The sequence below is a fragment of the Homo sapiens genome, chromosome 15 (assembly GCF_000001405.40).
Source record: "Homo sapiens chromosome 15, GRCh38.p14 Primary Assembly".
NCBI lineage: Eukaryota > Metazoa > Chordata > Mammalia > Primates > Hominidae > Homo > Homo sapiens.
The window spans coordinates 82,025,848-82,039,747 of NC_000015.10; the positions used below are offsets into that span (position 1 = coordinate 82,025,848).

Consider the following 13,900-nt stretch of genomic DNA (forward strand, 5'->3'; position numbering starts at 1 on the left):
TTGGTCCACTGGGTCAATTGATACAACTGGTGGTCATTTTCCCAGTTCTAGAGTGCATAGTTGGGGTTGATGCACTTGTCAGTTGGGGTAGCCCCTGTAATTGTTTCCTATTATGCTGTAACAAATCACCACAAACATAAGTAGTTTAAAATGACAAACATTTATTATCTTATGGTTCTGCAGGTTAGAAGTTCAAAATGAATTTTACTGGGCTAAAATCAAGGTGTTAGCAAGGCAGTGTTCCTTCTGGAGGGTCTAGGGAAGAATCTGTTGCAGGGTTGTTGTTTGTTTGTTTGTTTGCCTTTTTTTAGCTTCTAGAAGCCACCCACATTCCTTGGCTTAAGGTCTCTTCCTCTACCTTCAAAGCTAGCAATTGCATCACTCCAACCTCTGCCTCCATCATCCCATCTCCTTCTCCGACTCTCCTGCTTCCCTATTTCCCTTATATGAACCTTGTGATTACAGTGGGTCCACCAGACAATCCAGAATAATCTCCCGGTCTCGAGGTCCGTAATTTACATCTGCAACGTCCCTTTTGCTGTTGAAGTAGCATATTCACATGTTCTGGGAATTAGGACATGAGTATCTTCAAGGAGCCATCCTTCTGCCTGTCACAGCCCCACATGGGGTTCTTGGCCTGTGGAGTAACAGATATCATAGTAGAGAAGGCCAAGTGGAACCCTCTGAATTTGCAACCCCTCCCCTAGCCCTGGCCAAAATAGTTAATCAGAAACAATGTGCTATCTAGGGAGATGCCAGATATTAGTGCCATCTTTAAGGATTTCAAGGAGGCAGGGGTGATAGGCCATAACATATATCAGTTTCATTCACCAGTCTAGACCCTGCAGAGACCAGATGGATCCTGGAGAGTGACTATAGATTCCCACAAGATCAACTAAGTAGTCTTGATTACAGCTGCCCTGCAGAAGGCAGTATTATTGCTAAAATAGATTAATAAGGCCTCAGGTACAAGATATACCATCATTGGTTTGGCAAGCTCATTTCTATTCCACTCAGAAAAGAGCATCAGAAACAGCTTTCATTACCATAGATAAGACAATAGTATTCATTTCCAGTTTTGCCTCTAGGCTGTTAACTCTCTCAGTCTCTATCATAATATAGTCTAAAAAATCTAAGGCACTTGGACGTCCCATAGAACAGTACACTGATTCATTACACCAATGGCATCATGCTGATCAGACATGACCAGCAAGAGCTGGCTAGTACTCCAGAGCTCCAGAGGTCTTACAAGGTAAGACATTTGCAATCTAGAGGTGGGAGATAAACACTACAAAGATTCAGAAATCGGTCACTTTGATAATTTTTTAAGAGTCAAGAAGTCAGGCATGTTCTGGGATATTACCTCCGAAGTAAAAAACTAATTGATGTATCTTTTATTGCCTAACCTAAAGAAGAAAGGTGGGCCTCTTTGGGTTCTACATCTAGGAATACTGCTTGGGCCCACCTACCGGTCAACACAAAAGACTGACAGCTTGAAGTGGGGCCCAGGTCAGGAAAGAGCTCTGTGCAGCCCTGCCACATAGTCCAGTCTAGCAGACTGCATGATGTTGGAGGTATCCGGTGCATTAGAAGATGCCGTGGTGGAGTTTATTGCAAGGCCCATTGGAAAAATTGCAAGCAGGTCTCTGGGGTACTGGACCAATGCCACACTATCTACAGCAAAGATTTATACGCCTTTCAATAAACAGTTCCTGGTACATCATTGGACCCAGGTAGAAATGGAACACTTGATTTGGGGGCAAATGACCATGCATCCACCACAGTCCATCATGAGCTGAATTCTCCAAGTCCTGCATTGAAATAGGCTCAGCAGCAGTCTATCATAAGATGAAAATTATACCTCTAAGACTTGGTCTGAGCAGGACTGGGGCCATGAATAAACTTCATGAGCAGGTAGCCCAGAAGCTTAAGGCACTCTCAACAGTTTTTTCAACTCATCGAAGCCATATGGGTCCCATATGATCAACTGAAGGAGGAGAAAATGTCTAAGCTTGGTTACTGCTGTATCAGCTTGCTATGTAGGCATGAGCTGAAAATGGGCAGCAGCTGTATTACAGCCACTGAAAGACAGGCAAGAGGGACAAATCTTTCCCGCAGAAAAGCTGGATCCTCCTAATACACTTTGTGAGGAAGAAAAGTGGCTAAGAGGAAAACATACACAGATTCCTGAGCAGGGGCCAATGGCTGAACCAGCTGGTTAGGAACCAAAATGAAAGCATTGGAAGATTAGAGACAAGGAAGTCTGCAGTAGAGGCATGTAGATGAACATGAATATGAGAGTGGGCTCAACCTCTGGTGATATTTGAATTATAAGTTAATGCCCACCAGAAAACATCCATCATGGAAGAGAAAATAGAAAATAGACAACCAAGTAGACAAAATGATTTGGCCATTTGGCCAAAATCTAAATTTTTGTAGGGTTGATCTACCACCTCTAGATTGCAAATGTCTTACCTTGTAAGACCTCTGGAGTACTAGTCAGCTCTTGCTGGTCATGTCTGATCAGCATGATGTCATCGGTATAACGAATCAGTGTAAGGCTCTTTTTTTTTTTTTTTTTTGAGACCAAGTTTTGCTTTTGTTGCCCAGGCTGGAGTGCAGTGGCACAATCTCAGCTCACCGCAACCTCCGCCTCCTGAGTTCAAGCGATTCTCCTGCCTCAGCCTTCCTGAGTAGCTGGGATTACAGGCATGCACCACCACACCTGGTTAATTTTGTATTTTTAGTAGAGACGGGGTTTCTCCATGTTGGCCAGGCTGGTCTCAAACTCCTGACCTCAGATGATCCACCCGCCTTGTCCTCCCAAAGTGCTGGGATTACAGGCATAAGCCACTGCGCCCGGCTGTATCAGTGTAATGTTCTATGGGAGAGGAGGCAAGCCTGTCATTGGCCACCCCAGAAGTGGTATGATGGGCACATAAATGGAGAGATGGAAGCTATGCATAGGCCCAACAGCATGCATTCCCACTGACTGTGACCAGTGTAGCCACTGTCACCTCTGAATGTCCAGTCTACTAGCAACAGAGGTCAAAGCTAAGCCTTGGAAATGGCACTGTTCCTGGAGGAGACCACAGGGCCACAGAGTGACAAGTCTGCCTGTATTGGGCCCCTCCATCTTGTAAGAGACAGCTGTCCAACCTCTCTCTAGGTTTCAGGTCTCATTCCCTTCCCTAGACTGGCCCTTGCCCCACTCACAGATCCTATTAAACTACCTGGCTGGTGACTTCAGCCTTGACCCTTACTTTGGCAAATTCCCAGCCCTTCCAGTCTTAGCTTCGGAAGTATTACTGCTACTTATCCAATATTTATCCCTCTTTACCTTTTATCTTTACAGAAATAACACAGACTTTGTTCAGGATGACATTGCTTAACTATAAATGTTTGATTTTCCAACCATATGAACAGTTCTGGCCAATGAGAGATAGTCTCTGAATGAAAAGGCAGAAGCTCACCAGCAAAGTGCCTCTTTACTGGCCATCCTTGTCATTTCACTAAACTTTTCCCTCCTTCTTCATGCTTGGACTATAGACAAGAGGTCTGGGGTTGTGGCAGCCATCCTTTGACCCTGAGGCATTTAACAAATGACAGAGCAGAAAGATGTAAAGAGCTGTGGATCCTGGTTGTGTCTCTGAGAAACCAGACCAGCCCTGATCTGCTTACTTTGGGGCTGCCTGTGTGTAAGGCCAGTCAAACCCTGCTTCAGCCACTATAGGAGGTTTTCATTCATTTGATCTCTTCTATGGAGTGGAATTGCTTCGAATCTGGCTGGCACTTGGCCCTAAATAGTATTAATAGATACTGAGCTATTGAAATGAAACTTTTATGACAATAACACATTGATGTATGTGCTCCTGCAAAGGGATTTGAAATACTACTAATAATAAATGAATCTTAAACTGAAAAAAGATATGCTGGAGTCATAAACCCCAGTATCTCAGAATGCGATCTTATTTGAAGATAGGATCTTTTTACAAAGATAGTCCAGTTAAAATGAGGTCATGAGGGGTGGGTCCTAATTCGATAGGACTGATGTCCTTATAAGAAGTGGAAATCTGGGGATATACATACACAAAGAAGACAAAGTGAAGGCGGGAGAAGGCAGCCACATACAAGTCAGAGAGGCCTGGAACAGATCCTTCCCGCACAGCCCTCAGAGGAAACCAGCCCTGCTGACACCTTGATCTCAGACTTCTTGCCTCTAGAACTGAGAGACGATAAATTTCTGTTGTTTAAGCCACTCAGTTTGTGGTACTTGGCCCCCCTACCAAATGAATACAGGAGGGTGTTCTGTTCTTTGAAACTGGATATATCTCTGTATGATACAGCTAGGCAGTCTCCCAGCTCTGCCACCAATCCCACACCCACCCTAAATGTGACTTCAACAATCATCAGATATAATTCAACATTTGGAAAAATCTCAGTGACTAGACAACTGTCCAGTGGACTTGTAAGGACAGCCAGTAAATCTAAGCTTAATGAGCCATTAAGAACACTGAATAGCTGGAGAGATTCTCTGCACTTTGCCTCAGAGTTCTTAGCAAGGGGCAGGGGTTGAGTTCCTCCCTCTCGCACAGGGAGCCCATGCCTTCCTTAATTGCTTCAACTTGTGTACAGACTGCCTGTGGCCATAGAGTCCTAGCTAGGTCTTGACGCAGTAAGATAGCACCACACAATGATGTGGTTTTGCTTTTGTACTGTCCTGTGCTCTAAATCCTGCCTACTTTGCTGTTGTGAGAAGCTTCTGAGTTTAATTGATTCATTTTGGAGATTGGTCTGCATGCAAAAGTTTCAATGTTCTGATCATTAAGGAAGGATTAATTGAGTTGCCCTGGAAGGGACTTCATTGGACTAGTTTCCAAATTTAATATATGGCCTAGTTCCACCAAGAACCTGGATTATTCACTCTCTTATAGTGAGCTACTTGGCAGCCCCAACCTTACTAAGCAGAGGGCAAGATATTTAGGCAGTAAATTCAAAATTCCACTCCTTCCACCATTTACTCAGTCCCAAACTTCTCATAAATTTTCAAGTGAAATTCAAGAAAGTTTTTCTTCCTAAATGGGAAATATAGATTGGAGGTTTTCATTCATTTTGATTTCTTCTTTGGAGTGGAATTCCTAGAATCTGACTGGCACTTGGCCCTAAATGGTATTAATAGATACTGAGCTATGGAGATGAAACTTTTATGACAATAACATATTGATGTATGTGCTCATACAAAGGGATTTAAAATACTACTACTAATAAATGGATCTTAAAAGCATCCTAACAACTGTTGGTCTTTGATACTTACTTAATGCTGGCTGGATCCAGTGCAAGATACACTGCTAAGAAAATCCTAATAGTTATTTTTAAAATAATAATACATTTATTTATTCATTCTTACATGTCATTTAAATACGATTAGCAATCCTTTTTTATTCTCAGAGAAAACTCTTAGTGAGTCTGAGGATCAGATATGTCCCCAATATGTGTTCATACTGCTTAGCGTGGAATTGCATATGTTCTTTGCAGGTTTTGGCTGTGTGCAAATCGTGTGAGCGCTTTTTACAATAGAGAAAGCATTTTGGACAGATATTGAAATGAAGCTTCTCCATCATGCAGCTTTTAGAGTATTTGTCTCATGTGTTTTAACCCCTGTTCCCAATATCTTGTATTTCAGTGCTCACAGCTGAAGCACATGTCCTATTTTATGCCCTTCCTCATAACTACTGCTGATTATTTTGCATCTTGCACATCTAAATGTTCAGTTTTTCTTCCTAATTCCAATGATTCTCCTCATTTCTCAATGTCCTTTGTCCATCTTTGCTGCTCCATTTGCACTGCCTCCCAAAGGTCACTGTGGCTCCTTCTCTGACTTCCACAGTCAAGTTACACTTCATAAAAATTCTAAGCTCATTTTCAGAAGCCACAAATCTATCCTTCTTTAAAGTCTTCAAACTTTGATTGTGTAAATAAATACTCAGAAACAAGATTTCTAAAAAAAAAAACACTATTGGCCATCGTATGTTCAAAGGAGATAACAAATGTTTAACCTTATATGTTGTAGGCTTTCTAAACTTAATTTCAAAAAAAGACTAAATAAACAGTGTCAATATGTCTATAAACTCACAACGAAAATTTTCAGATCATCCAATTGTGTATTCATTGGCCGGAAACAATCATGTAAAAACCACAGCCCTGGAGCTGGGTAGCATAGAAACAAGAAGATTCAGCATTTCATGGTTGGTGACCTCAAATCTCTAAAGGGTTGTCAGGTTAAAAAAAAAAAAAAGAAAAGAAAAGAATAGAAATTTGACCTGATCTATAAAAATGAAAGTCGCTGGGCAAAGTTTTGGCTTTTCACTCCTGACAAAGATGAGCTCTCTCATAGGTAGACCAAGGCACACGAGTGATGACTTTCGTGGCCCCAAAATTCTTCAAGAAAATAGTAGATTGAGGAAGCGATCTGCGCATTGATAGAGGTGCTGTTTGAACTGGATGACATTTAAGCTTCCTTCTTTCTCCAAGATTCTGTGAGGCCATGAAGCATGCTATTTCATCCCCACTCCAATTGCTGTCTCCCTGGCCTGGTGCCCTTACCACCTCAATCTTGGGTCACTGATCTCTTTTGCAAGAAATCAGTCCTGCCTACCACCTGCAACTTCATCTTCCTAAAATGTCACTTTCCTTAAGGCCTGCTCTGTTCAAAGGCCAGTTCCCAGCCACACCAATGTAAATGCTTGTATTTATCGTTGATAAGCTCTTCCCACCCCATGAGATCATGAACTCTGCTCCAGGTAGACTGGCTTTTTTTGCTGTGTCCCCCACCCCGCCGCCCCCACATCTCACTAGTCCTCCACAGGGATCTTTACTTTTTTTTTAAATCAACACATTTCCTAGGCAGAGGAAATGTTTCAAGCAAAGGCACAAATATATAAAAACACTAGATGTATTCAGGAAATCGTAAGTAAAAGCATTTGCTCTATGACTCCCAGCTAGGTCTAACACTACATTTAGTTATCGCTTCTAACATCCTCATTCTTCTATTTTTAATAATAGTGCCCAACCCACCAAGGTTCTAAATCCGCAAATCTCCTTGTCCGTCTTCGCTCCCAGATATGGCCCCTGCCACCTAACATTGTCAATTTAATTGGGTTGAACCGTATGAAATTGCCATTACTGAAGGTAAAAATGGTCTGGTATCAGCAATTTCACATGATTCAACCTAATAGTTTTTCGAGGTCCTTAAAACTCTCTCCTCTTCTCTTCTGACCATCCCAGACACTCTTCTGCCTCTCGCCTCTCCAGCCACCTCCTGGATCAAGGCCTTCGCTCCTCACTGGCCTCCTGGCACTTTCCCAGCCCATCCAGCTCACAGGTACCAGAAAACAATATAAAACAGTGTTCTCCAATGCCTGCAAGACACACCCCAAAACTCTCAGTTGAGCCTCCCAGACTCTCTACAATCTGCCTCTGACTTGCTTTTCCAAACTTATTTTCTACTCTTCAGCTCACCCAAAATCTTCACTGGAAGAGACCCTAGAGCTCACCTAGTCTCATGGTTCCCAAACTCAGCTTCACAGCAGAATCCCCTGAGGAGCTTTTACTTTATCGGTCATTCTATCTAGCTCTCTAGCCATACATTTATTTATATATGGGTTTATCATGCCTAGCACTTAAAAATTTTTTTAATTAATAGACTTTCCTTTTTTTTTTTTTTTTTTTTTTTGAGACAGAGTCTCGCTTTGTTGCCCAGGCTGGATGCAGTGGCGCAATCTCGGCTCACCGCAACCTCTGCCTCCCTGCAACCTCTGCCTCCCAGGTTCAAGCGATTCTCCTGGCTCAGCCTCCCGAGTTGCTGAGACTACAGGCGCCCGCCACCACGCCCAGCTAATTTTCTGTATTTTTAGTAGAGATGGGATTTCACTGTGTTAGCCAGGATGATCCGCCCTCCTCGGCCTCCCAAAGTGCTGGGATTACAGGCACGAGCTACCGCGCCCGGCCAGCTTTACTTTTTAGAGCAGTTTTAGGCTTACAGCAAAATTAACCGGAAAGTACAGAGAGTTCTCACATTGCCCTACCCCATACACACAGGCAGCCTCTCTACCATCAACAACCCACATTAGGGTGCAGGCATTACAATCAATAACCAACATTGACACATCATTACCAACAAAAGAAAAATGTTTTTGAATAGGCAATACATACTTTAAAAAAAAAAAAGGATCCAAGCAGTATAAAAAGATATGCAGGGAAACGGAAGTCTCTCCAGCTCCTGATCCCTGAAGCCGCAGTCTCCCTCCCTGAGATATATTCTATGTATATGATTATACTTGTAGGTAGGTCTTCATCTACAATTTTAATACAAATGAAGCATGCCATACACCTGTAATGAACCTAAATTTTTTCCTATTTATTTATTTATTTATTTATTTATTTATTTATTTATTTTGAGACAGAGTCTCGCTCTGTCATCCAGGCTGGAGTGCAGTGGCACTCGGCTCACTGCAAGCTCCGCCTCCCAGGTTCATGCCATTCTCCTGCCTCAGCCTCCCGAGTAGCTGAGACTACAGGCACCCGCCGACACACCCGGCTAATTTTTTTTTTTTTTTTTAAGTAAAGACGGGGTTTCACCATGTTAGCCAGGATGGTCTCCATCTCTTGACCTCGTGATCTGCCCGTCTCAGCCTCCCAAAGTGCTGGGATTACAGGCGTGAGCCACCATGCCTGGCCAATTTTTTCTTTTTAATAATACATATTGTTGATCAGTGCAGGAATTAGGGGAAAATTTTTTAATGCATATTGAAGATTGTGCAATATCAATACAAATTACACTGCATCATTCTTTTTAACAGCATTTTGCCAAGTCATCTAAAGTATATATTTACGTCTTTAACTCATCATCCCCTATTGACAGATATAAGGAACTTTTTAAACTGTTGGTTTCCAGATCTCATCCCAAAATTATTGAATACGAATTTCAAGAGGTGAACCCAGAAATTTGTATTTCATACATCTTCTCTAGGTTACTCTCATGTAGGCATCTCACAAGACTAGTTTACAAAGCAATAAAATAGCTCATCCTTCTAATTTTCCAAATAAGAAAACTAGGTTTAAAAGATATAAAGCGATTTTCTCAAAGTCTCACAGCAGAGAAGTTAGAGGCAGAGTTAACTGTACAACAGGGCCCCCTGAATAGGAGGTGTGGAGGAATTAATTCATCTAGGATATACACCATAAAAATGTGACTAGGATAAGTAACCCCAAATACCCTAGTCCCGTTTATCAAGAGGTTTTAAGTGATAGTGTTCTTGCAGTACAGTCGCTGATGTTCATGATGAGGACCCTGAAGTGCCTTCTGAGTCATCAAAGGGCTAGTAAGGTAATGCCATCATGGATTTAATGAGAAGTGTGTTTTAAAGCCTACATCCATGGGTGGTAGGCTTGCATATTATCAATAAACAGCATATTAAACTTATTCATAACTCATTAAAATCACTTCTGGCTATTCCATAAAAGCAGAAGTTTTCTGTATATCTGCACAGGGAATGTTCTAGAAAGATCTTGGTTTCCAGAAATCTCTAGTCTCTACTTTAGCATTTAAGCTCAGTTTCTTCGGCTATAAAATTAGGATAATAGTACTATCCATATTATCCACTACCTCATGGGGTTGCTGTGAGACAATTTATATGAAAGGATTTTCAAAAGCATAATATCTCCTATACAAAATAAAATAATAGTATTTTATCACTTTTAAAGATATGCATCCAACAAAATGCTCTGATGGAGAAGATTTGGCCCAGGCCAAATTGACTAACACCATTCATGCATCTTGCTTTAAATTTTTAAAATTCTTTCTAACCTATGAATGTAATATAATCACAAGGTTAAAAAAAATCCAAAGGTCAAGAGAATATAAAATGAAAAGACAGTAATAATAGCATAGGTCTGGATTGAGAGACATAGACAGATAGCACTTATCACATGCCATGCATATGGTAAATGCTCCTCAGAAAAACTCTTTGAGGTAAGTTACTATTATTATCTGCATTTCATAGATGATCAAACTGAGGCACAGAGAAATTTAGTAACTTTCCCAAGTTACACAGTTAGTAAGTGTCAGAGCTGGTTTTCTGTCATCACCCCCCAAATACTAGTCTTATTCTCTAAAGATGACCACTGTTTCACAGTCAATTCCACATCTGTATGAGTTTTCTATTTCTGCACAACAAATTACCCTAAAATTTAGGGCTTAAAACAATAAGCATCTGGCCGGGTGTGGTGGCTCACGCCTGTAATCCCAGCACTTTAGGAGGCCGAGACGGGCGGATCACGAGGTCAGAAGATCAAGACCATCCTGGCTAACATGGTGAAACTCCACCTCTACTAAAAATACAAAAAATTAGCAGGGCGTGGTGGCAGGTGCCTGTACTCCCAGCTACTCGTGAGGCTGAGGCAGGAGAATGGCATGAACCCGGGAGGTGGAGCTTGCAGTGAGCCGAGATCACCCCACTGCACTCCAACCTGGGCAACAGAGTGAGACTCCGTCTGAAAAACAAACAAACAAACAACAACAACAAAAACAACAACATAAGCATCTATTAACTCACAGCTTTTATGGATCAGGAATCAGGGTGTGGCTTAGCCAGGTGCGTCTGACTTAAGATCTCTTATTAGGTTCAATCAAGATGTTGATAAGGGCGGCAGTCTCATCTGAAGATTCGTCTTGGGGAGGATCTGCTTTAGGTTCATTCCTGTGGTTGTTGGCAGGTCTCAGTTCCTCATGGTCTATTGGACTGAAAGCCTCAAGTACTCGTGGACAGAGGCAGGGGCCCTCTTCAGTTTCTCACCGCATAGATTTCTCCACACGACTGCCTCCATCCAGAGTCAGTGATGAGAGAGAAAGACAGAGGGAAAGAGAGAGATCACACCAAGACAGAAGCCACAGTATTTTTATAACCTAGTCTCAAAAGTGACATCCTCTCACTTCTGCCATATTCGGTCATTAGAAGCAAGTCACAAAGTCCAAACCATACTCAAGGGGAGAGGGTCACACAAGGAGGTAGGGATCATTGGGGGCCGTCTTAAAGATTGTGCACCATGACAGTCCTCTAGAACTTTTCTATACAAATAAAACTTTTTTTTACAGAAATTATATCCTTTGCATTTTGCCTTTACGGATATCAAAGTGATCCCCTCATTTACTAGTACAGCTAGAATTCCATGTGCAGAAGCTACATAATTTCACAAGCAAGTCCCCTATCGATGGGCATGTAGGTTATTTGAAGCAAAACACCCCTTTCACTGATTTGCTAAGTATGCACTGAACATCGCTGTGAACCAGGCTCTGTGTTGGATGGTGTTGGAGGCACAGAGATGGGGGATAAGACCCCTGCTCTGAATACATTCTCAGCCTAGAGGGAGAAAAGACAGTTAAGCAATTGTGAAAGGGCCTGGAAGATATCACTGTGGAAGGGGTATTAGGTATCAGGTAAGGGGCTGAACATGTCTGATAACTCCAGAAGTAAGGACACCATCTCACTTTGCACAGATGAGTAAACTGAGTCACAAATTTGCCATTTGTTTCACCCACACCTTCCATAAAAACATGAAAAACATGTGCTACAGTTGGAACCAGCGCTAAAGACTCATGGGGTGGGTAGCACCCATAATGCCATTTTTAGACCGTGCCCAGATCCTGCAATTCTAATACATGCCCTGAAAAATTAAGTCAATAAAATAAAATTAAAAAATCAGTCAAACAAAGACCTTGGCATTTGGGAGACCATACGATTGACTACGTTTCACTTTTCAGTCAGGGTTCTGGCATCTTTTAGTCACTGTCTAAATTACTTCATGTGACATTTTTATTGAGCTTTTTTTAAAACAGAGAATTCTGTATTCATTTTCTTCTCATCCAATGGTAATTTTTCTTTGTCCACCTGAAAAGAATACATTACAGAATAATATTTGATTGTTCACAAGACAGTCAAGGCTTTATTTAGAATTAATGTCAAAGAAATGCCCTGTGCCCATAAGGTGCTATTCATGTTCTCGGTTCTCCTCACGTGGCCTGGCCGCACCACGGCAACTCCGCCGGGCTCTATTTTTCAAGTCAGTTACACGTATTACTAAAAGGAACATCATTCTCTTAGTTGACTATTTTATGACAAATGAGTGCTTGCTTTTTCTCAAAATACCTCCTATAAAAGCCATTTTTTTCTGAAGTGGTAAAGATAGAAACATTGGATTTAGGTAGACCCAAGGTTGGAGTCCTAAGTCCAACACTTACTGACTGTGTGGCCTTAGGTAGGTAATTTAACTTCTACCTAAGTTTCCTTGTCTCTGAAATGGGTTTACTCAGACCTACCCCATAGGGTTGGACCAATGTAGAGTGCCTGGGTCAGAATGAGAGGCTCAGTAAACTATAGAAATTATCACTGACCTTCCCTGAGCCAATGTAAGTGATGCTTAACTCTTCCCACTCTCCCTTCCTGGAAAGCTGGTTGGTCTTAACACTTGGGGAAGAGATCCTTTAGCACTTTAAGCATCGCTTGTGGGCAAGGTCAGGTTTGACTAGGTCAGGGAAGGGAGGAAGCCAAAGGGGAGGCAGTGTTGAGTGTTAGAAGGGCCCTTGTTCCCTAGCCAGGGAGGGAATTACTCTTTTATGGCGAAAAAGAGTGAATGTGCCCAATGCAAATTCCCTTCCTTCCCGAGTTACCTTGCTCCAACAAAGCGTCTGGACTACTACTCCCAGCCATTGCATTGGCCAGCAGGCTCAAAACCCACTTGAGAGAAGACTTTGTTCATATTTTGTTTGTTTGTTTGAGACAGAGTCTTGCTCCGTCCCCCAGGCTGGAGTCCAGTGGCGCGATCCCGGCTCACTGCAAGCTCTGCCTCTCGAGTTCACGCCATTATCCTGCCTCAGCCTCCCGAGTAGCTGGGACTACAGGCGCCCGCCACCACGCCCAGTTAATTTTTTGTATTTTTAGTAGAGACGGGGTTTCACCGTGTTAGCCAGGATGGTCTCAATCTCCTGACCTCGTGATCCGCCCGCCTCGGCCTCCCAAAGTGCTGGGATTACAGGCGTGAGCCACCTCGCCCGGCCAAATTTGTTCATATTTCTTAGAAAGATAAGACTTAAGAGATAAGAGCTCTGCATCACTTAGTGACTGTAATTCACTGAAGATATCAGAACTTTTCCCAAGAGCCCATTTTGGTAGTATAAGGAGTACCCATGAAATAGGGAAAGGGGAAGAGATGCTAGCACAGACCCATTTGGAAATTTCTCCGTACATTTTATCTCATAGTTACAGGGAACCGAACAAAACAGAAAGAGGCCGGCTAGATCTGGAAACGGAGGTTTGATTCTGGGTAAGGGGGCTGGGACTGTGTTTTGAGTAATATTTGTTTTACTGCAAATAGGCACAGTAAAATCTCAGGGCTGCCTGCCTCATGGTTGCAGAAAGGCTCACAGGAGAGAATGGAAATGAGAGTGCTTTGAACATTCCATGTAATCATTATTATCATTCATTGGGTACAATCTACCACTCTGGTGAATAAAAAGAGTCCCTTTGTTGTGACCTCCTATGCTCAGACATCAGCCTTGACCTTGCCCACAATGTTCCTGATATAGAGCTACACTGGGTCGTGGGTAATCCTAGAACGCCTTTAGGCACGTAAATGCTGGAAGAAGTCCACCAACTTCAAGGCAATGAATGAAGGGAAGAGAAGATATATTTGCTTCGTCTACATCAGGGCTTCTCATCCCTGAGCTGGATAATTCCGTGTGTGGGGGCTGTCCTGTGCAATGTAGGATGTTTAGCGGTATCCCTAGCCTCTACCCACTAAATGTCAGTACAATTACACATTTTTGTCATAAGCAAAAATGTCTCCA

At 42.4% G+C, this 13,900-nt stretch overlaps 1 long non-coding RNA gene across 1 annotated transcript; it reads right to left on the bottom strand.

Moving 5' to 3' along the window:
• Positions 1 to 269: 269 nt before the first annotated feature.
• Positions 270 to 6,772, bottom strand: LOC105370923 (uncharacterized). Its single transcript, XR_932531.2, has 3 exons — positions 4,090 to 6,772; positions 3,474 to 3,586; positions 270 to 637 (listed from the first exon to the last, which is right to left on the bottom strand). It is a non-coding gene; the product is annotated as an uncharacterized LOC105370923 (long non-coding RNA).
• Positions 6,773 to 13,900: the final 7,128 nt, after the last annotated feature.